We start from the raw sequence: 8237 nt of genomic DNA, 5'->3' as shown, positions 1-8237 counted from the left end.
TATTCTGGATACCACACCTGACCCCCATGACTGTATCTCTCTGATCCACCTGACATTCACCCCATTTCCCCAAATTTCCTTCTTTCCTGTTCCTCACCCTGATCACGGTTGATTTATTGATGGCGGTTCCACCAGGCCTAATCGCCACACACCAGCAAAGGCAGGCTATGCTATAGTACAAGCCACTAGCCCGCCTCTCAGAACCTCTCATTTCCTTTCCATTGTGGAAATCTATCCTCAAGGAAATAACTTCTCAGTGTTCCATCTGCTATTCTACTACTCCTCAGGGATTATTCAGGCCCCCTCCCTTCCCTACACATCAAGCTCGAGGATTTGCTCCCACCCAGGACTGGAAAATTAGCTTTACTCAACATGCCCCAAGTCAGATAACTAAAATACTTCTTAGTCTAGGTAGACACTTTCGCTGGATAGGTAGAGGCCTTTCCTACAGGGTCTGAGAAGGCCACCGCAGTCATTTCTTCCATTCTGTCAGACATAATTCCTCAGTTTAGCCTTCCCACCTCAATACAGTCTGATAACAGACCAGCCTTTATTAGTCAAATCAGCCAGCAGTTTTTCAGGCTCTTAGTATTCAGTGAAACCTTTATATCCCTTACGGTCCTCTGTCGTCAAGAAAAGTAGAATAGACTAAAGGTCTTTTAAAAAACACACCTCACCAAGCTCAGCCACCAACTTAAAAAGGACTGGACAATACTTTTACCACTTTCCCTTCTCAGAATTCAGGCCTGTCCTCGGAATGCTACAGGATACAGCCCATTTAAGCTCCTGTATAGACGCTCCTTTTTATTAGGCCCCAGTCTCATTCCAGACACCAGACCAACTTAGACTGTGCCCAAAAAACTTGTCATGCCTACTATCTTCTGTCTAGTCATACTCCTATTCACCATTCTCAACTACTCATACATGCCCTGCTCTTGTTTACACTGCCAGTTTACACTTTTTCCAAGCCATCACAGCTGATATCTCCTGGTGCTGTCCCCAAACTGCCACTCTTAACTCTTGTAGTAAATAAATAATCTTTGCTGGTAGGACTATGCTGAATCTCCTTAGGCACTCTCTAATCAGATATCCTGAGTCGTCCCAATTCTTAGACCTTTTATACCTGTTTATCTCCTTCTGTTATTCCATTTAGTTTCTCAATTCATCCAAAACAGTATCTAGGCCATCACCAATCATTCTACACGACAAATGTTTCTTCTAACAACCCCACAATATCACCCCTTACCACAAGACCTCCCTTCAGCTTAATCTCTCCCACTCTAGGTTCCCACGCCGCCCCTAATCCTGCTTGAAGCAGCCCTGAGAAACATCGCCCATTCTCTCTCCATACCTTCCCCCCAAAATTTTCGCCACCCCAACACTTCAACACTATTTTGTTTTATTTTTCTTATTAATATAAGAAGTCAGGAATGTCAGGCCTCTGAGCCCAAGCCAAGCCATCGCATCCCCTGTGACTTGCACGTATAAGCCCAGATGGCCTGAAGTAACTGAAGAATCACAAAAGAAGTGAATATGCCCTGCCCCACCTTAACTGATGACATTCCACCACAAAAGAAGTGTAGATGGAAGGTCCTTGCCTTAAGTGATGACATTACCTTGTGAAAGTCCTTTTCCTAGCTCATCCTGGCTCAGAAAGCACCCCCGCTGAGCACCTTGTGACCCCCACTCCTGCCTGCCAGAGAACAAAACCCCTTTGACTGTAATTTTCCTTTACCTACCCAAATCCTATAAAACGGCCCCACCCTTATCTGCCTTCCCTGACTCTCTTTTCGGACTCAGCCCACCTGCACCCAGGTGAAATAAACAGCCATGTTGCTCACACAAAGCCTGTTTGGTGGTCTCTTCACACGGACGCACATGAAAATAACTAATACTGAATATGTAATATAATTAAATAATGTAGACTTTTATTCTGAAAAAACTTTCCAGAAACATTTTATTTCATGAAAGAAAGGAAGAGGTTTCTTTACGAAATGTATTTTGAAATACAGCAAAGACAACCCACTGATTGGAATTAACACACTGCATTTTCTTTCCCCCTAATTTGGCTGGCTTGTCACTTGATGAGTTATAAACTCTTCAGTGTTATTTATCATTTACTGTGAAATTCTCAGAGTAAAATCTAAAACAAAATGCAAATGTAAGGAGACATTGCTAGTTGGTTGTGTTAGAGGAAATGAGTGTAAAGCTATGTGACCATACTATCTCTAATCTTAAGTTTATAGATTCATATATATATATATATATATATATATATATATATATAAAACTATATCAGCTATTGTATTGTTATTGTCCTGAGGGAAGGAAAGGTGATTTTGCTTATCTTTGTGTTTCTGACACCTAATTTTAACACCTACCAGATAGTAGATGCTCTGGTACTTGTTAAGGGATTAAAATCGTTCTTAAATACTAAAGAATCATAAGAGGTCTCACATGACTGTGTGAATGAATTAAATAAAAAACTCATAGTATGAGTTTTAAAACAAAACTTAATATTTTTGTATCTCTGGTTTTATTATAAAAAAAGTTAAGGCAACTTTGGATGAAATGAAGCTGAATATTCTATTTATAATGTATGTCTAATGGTCTGAATGGGACTAAGGACAGTGTGTTTTCATGGTGACAGTATGTAGGGTTGTTAGGCACAACGTCAGTGTCAGTATAAAAAGAGATTATTTGGTGAAATATTCAATTATTTTTATTCAAAGGTCCTAACAATCATCATCTAGGGAAGATGATAATGTAGTAAATTGGCCAAGGACTGAAATTTGACGCTGTGCACTGTGAAGTCTAATGTCACAATTAAAGAGGACTGTGTCATTCACTCAATAAGTCTCCAATGAGTTCCCCAATGTGCCAGGCCCATTTAGGTTTGGGACTAAATAATTAGGATTCACTGCTAAATATGGACTTACTGGTGCTGGCAAGGAGGTAACATTGGAAAGTTACTGGGTTTCTTTGACCCTCAGTTTCCTCATTTGTTATATGATTATACCTAGAGCGGAGGATATTAGAAAAATAAAACAAGATATGTATTACAGCTACTTCTTGCAGCTCATGTTTTTCTATAATTATAATGCTGATTACTAAAATGTGCTGGGCCACAGGTAATCCCAGGTGTCCAATGAATTGCATAGACTCTAAAGACAATAGGCGTCCAGGGACAATGAGGGACTGACAGGTCCCTCAACTGATTCTGACAACCATTTTCTTTGTCTTTTCTCTTTTTTTTTCCCATTTCCTTTTCTTTTTCTCATTCTTTCTCTGTCTTTCTCACTCTTTTTCTGTCTCACTCTTCCACCCAGGCTGGAGTGTAGTGGCGCGATCTCAGCTCACCACAGCCTCGACCTCCTGGGTTCAGATGATCCTCCCACCTCAGCCTCCCGAGTAGCTGGGACTACAAGCATGCTCCACCACACCTGACTAACTTCATTGTGTGTTTTTGTAGGGTCTAGGTTTCACCATGTTGCCCAGGCTGGTCTCAAACTCCTGGGCTCAAGTGATCTGCCTACCTCAGCCTCCCAAAGTGCTGGGACTATAGGCATGAGCCACTATGCCTGGCCTCTGTAACTTTTTTTCTACTCTCAAGTCTTTATTATCTATTTCATTTGGAAGTACTGTCCTTCACTCCCTGTTCCTTGTCATTATTTGATGTTATTAAGCTATTAAAAAATTATGGAGATTTTTCCTTTGAAATTAACCTAATTTGATTATGTATGAAATATGCTCTGATGTCAAACAAAAGCCAATTATTTTAGGAAAACTATCACAGACTTCTATGAATAATGCAATTACCCCAAATAAATTTAGCTCCAATATTCATTTTATAGCCTTAAAGAGGCTAGAGATGATTTATATTTTACTGTACATATGATGCATTCATTAGTTACTTTTGGCTGCAAGTAACAGGAAAAATAACTGAAATTGGCTTAAGAAATGAGGACATTTATCAGCTCACACAATAGTAGGATTGATTTCTGTGTTGGTTAATTTTGCAAGTCAATGATGTCATTGGGGACCCAGGTCTCTCCTGGTTCATCTACAGGGTCAGTTTCATCCCAAGGTTGGTTACACTCATATTTGTAAGACATAGAAGTAGAACCATATAAACTTGCTTGTTTATACCCAGTGGGAAAGACAAAAAACATAGCTTCCTGTATTAGTCCATTCTCTCGCTGCTATGAAAAAACATCGAGACTGGGTAATTTATGAAGGAAAGAAGTTTAATTGACTCACAGTTCCACACTACTGGAGAGGCCTCAGGAATCTTACAATCATGGTGGATTGCAAAGGAGAAGCAGGCACCTTCTTCACAGGGCAGCAGTTTGGAGTGACAGCAGAGGAAATGCCAGATGCTTATAAAACCATCAGATCTTGAGAGGACTCACTCACTATCACAAGAAGAGCATGGGGGAAACTGCCCCCATGATCCAGTCACTTCCTACCAGGCCCTTCCCATGACATGTAGGGATTATGGGAACTACAGCTCAAGATGAGATTTGGGTAGGGACACAGCCAAACCATGTCACTGTCCTTCCCATAGTTTTCTCTAAGATTCTAAAAGCTCTATTCTCCTATGACCTTGGCAAACTTCTTGCTTTTCATTTACCAAAATTGTCCTGGGCCTGGCCACCATTAAGTCTTTACTGACAAGGGAATGGGATTATCATGGTTAGTTTAGATTAATTAGTTGAGGTGGAATGGATGTTGGTGAGTAAATAACAATGTCCCACTGGGGATTTTATTTTAACATTTAGGTTATTCTTCACTCATTTCTATTTTATTTCATTTTATGAATTGGATCAGGTCTTTGGCTTAACCAACCACACCTGTGACACAGTCAAAAAGACTACAACAAGTTCTAATATAAGAACCTCAACATTTCTTCACTACAGACACATCTGAAATAGTGGTGGTTCAACAATACAAGAGGTCATGAAAGCTTTTTTCTTTTCTTCCTACACCGTTTTGATGATCTCATGCAATCTCATGACTTTAAATATTAACTCTTTATTGATGACTTCTGAAACTTTATATCTGGCCTGTATCTCTTCCGACACCAGGTTTTTATCCAAGAGCTTAATAACACTTCCACTTTGTATCTAATAGGTATCTCAAACTTCAGACATTCCTAAGTGAACTCTTCTTACCCCCAAACCCATTCCTATCCAAAATCTTTCCCATCTCATTAAGTGGCTTGGATACAAATCAACTTACAAAAATTAGTAAAATTTCTCTACAGTAACGATAACCTTTCTGAAACAGAAATTAAGAAAGCAAACTTACTTACAATAGCATCAAAAAATTATTTAGGAGTAAATTTAATCAAGGATGTGAAAAATATATGTAGTGAAAACTATAAAACATTGAAAAAAATAGAAGATGATGAAAATAAATGCAAACATATCCCATGTTCACGGATTGGAACAATTAATATTGTTAAAATGTCCATATGACCCCCCCAAAATTTACAGATTCAATGCAATCTCTATCAAAATAACATGTCATTCTTCATAGAAATATTTTTAAAAACCCTTAAAATTCACGTGGAACCACAAAAGACCCCAAATAGACAAAACAATCTTGACTAAAAAGAGCAAAGCTAGAGACAACGTACTATAGAATTTAAAAATATATTACAAAGCTATAGTAATTAAGACAGCATGATTCTGACACATTAACCAATAAAATAGTATAGAAAGCTTAGAAACAACTCACACATTTACAGTCAATTGATTTTGGACAAAGGTGCCAAGAAGATACACAGTACAGAAAGGATAGTCTCTTCAACAAATGATATTGGAAAAACTGGATATTCACATATAAAACAATAAAATGGACTCTTATCTCACTCCTTATACAAGAATCAACTCAAAATGGGTTAAATACTTAAACATAAGATGTGTAACTATAGAACTAGTAGAAGAAAATTTGGAGGACAAGCTCCACGATATTGGTCTGGGCAGAGATTTCTTGGATAAGACCCCAAATATTATTGCACAGGCAACAAAAACAAACATAGACAGATGAGATTGCATTATATTAGAGAGCTTCTGCACAGCAAATGAAATAATATAGAGAAGAGACAAACCATGGGTTTGGAGAAAATGTTTGTAAATCATACATCAAATAAGAGGCTAATATCCAAAATGTATAAGGAACTCAAACTACTCAATGAAAAGAAAACAAATAACTCCATTTTTAAGTGGATAAAAGACTTGAATAGATATATTTCTCAAAAGAAAACATACTAATGATCAACACATATATGGAAAAATGTTCAACATCTTGAATGATCAGAAAAATGCCAATTAAAACCGGCTAGAGTGGCTACTATGAAAAAGATGAGAGATAACAAGTGTTCATGAAGATGTGAAGAAAAGGGAACCCTTTTTATACAACGTTGGTGGTATTGTAACTTAGTACAACCATTTTTGAAAACAGTATGGAGACACCTCAAAAAACTAAAAATTTAATTACCATATGATCCAGCAATCCCTCTACTGGGTATATGCTGAAAGGAATTGAAATCAGTGTGCCAAAGAGATGCCTGCACACCCAGTTCATTGCAGTATTATTCACAATAGCCAAGCTATGAAAAAAAGCTTAAGTGTTCATCAAAGGATGAATGGAATTTAAAATGTTGTATAAATACACAATGAAGCACTATTAGCCTTAAAAAAAAAAAAAAAAAAAAAAAAAAAACAGGAAATTCTGTCATTTGTAGCAATATGGCTGAACCCAGGGGATATTACTTTAAGTGAAATAAGCCAGGTACAGAGAGAGAAATATTGTACCATCTCACTTATATGTGGAATCTAAAAAAGTCTAACTCCTAGAAGTAGAAAGTAGAAAGGTGGTTAGTAGAGGCTGGGGAATAGGGTGTACAGAGAAAGGGGAGACATTGGTCAATGGGTACAAAGTTATCGTTAAATAGGAAGAATAAATTCTGGTCTTCTATTGCACAGCAAGGTGATTATAGTTAATAATAATGTATTGCACACTTCAAATTAGCCAAAAAAGAAGATTTTGAAATGTTTTCATCACAAAGAAATGATAAATGTTTGAGGTGACAGATATGCTGATTAGTCTGATTTGATCATTCCAAGAAATATACATGTATCAAAACATCACATTGTACCCCATAAATATATACAATTATTATTTGTCAATTAAAAATTAAATATAACCATTAAAAATTTTAAATATTGCATTAAGACATTTAAGAAGAGGATCTGCTCATATTTCAAGCCAAGTTTACATGCTTCGACCTCAGATGTCATCAGAGTTCTGCCTTGTGACATTAGGCACCTGTGCAGGTATTAATAAAAAGATACTTCAACTTGCAAACTATCATTGATCTTTGAGTGTTTAATTCCATAGAAACTCTAGGGAAGTAAGAACTCTTAGAAGGACAGGATTCAGGTCTTGCAGGTGTCTTTACAAAACCACCAACATTTTAGCACAATTTTGACAATATTAACTGCTACAGAAGGAATTATGCAAGTCACTATTTGGAAGAACACAAAGAACACACATACCAAAAAATTCTCTTAGTTAGACCAACAAAAAAAATTTATTGCCCTTGGAGTTGGATGCTGAATACAGCTCATGATATAGTTTATCTCAATTTAATTTCACTATCTCTCCTCTTTCTTCACACTTTGAATTCTCCTCAACTCTCTGCCAACAAGAACTTGCAATCTGATAGAGAAGATGCAAATACAATTATCTGTAATATAAGACAGATGCTTTAACAAGGAGTGAAATCAATTAATTCTGAAACTCTGGTTGAGGGAATACACAAAGACTTTACAGGGAAGCCTGCCAAGAATGTGTAGGTCATCAATGAGGGAGAAGTGGGAACATGTCACAGAAACAATACTTTCAAAGCAAAAAGCAATTGAAGTGACACAGGAAGTGAATTGGATTTTAATGATTTGTGTTTCAGGATGGATCTCAAAGCTGAGAACAATAGGTGACAATACCCTCCCATTGAAACAAAGAGCTACATCATCCTGAGGACCTGATAAAGAGGTGAGCAAAATTGGTTCCACAACAAGAATCCTTGTGTTAATCTCTGTTTTTTTAAGTGGAGATAACTCATGTTAGGTGTTGTTTCACCTAGCATTCAGTAGAATGACCAAACAGCCTTAGCAGAATATCCAACAGCATCAGCTAAATTAAAAGGCATTTGCATTTGAACCCTCATC

At 37.3% G+C, this 8237-nt stretch overlaps 1 annotated feature.

The window, feature by feature from the left end:
- Positions 1268 to 1933: an enhancer, noted in NCBI's record as "OCT4-NANOG-H3K27ac hESC enhancer chr6:131825416-131826081 (GRCh37/hg19 assembly coordinates)". NCBI's record gives its function as "activates a minimal SCP1, AML or CMV promoter by ChIP-STARR-seq in naive and primed H9 embryonic stem cells {active_cell/tissue: H9 hESC(naive and primed)}" and the evidence as "EXISTENCE:reporter gene assay evidence [ECO:0000049][PMID:30033119]".

This window comes from Homo sapiens, chromosome 6 (genome assembly GCF_000001405.40).
Source record: "Homo sapiens chromosome 6, GRCh38.p14 Primary Assembly".
Taxonomy (NCBI): Eukaryota; Metazoa; Chordata; class Mammalia; order Primates; family Hominidae; genus Homo; species Homo sapiens.
This window is presented reverse-complemented; position numbering and strand designations above follow the sequence as displayed.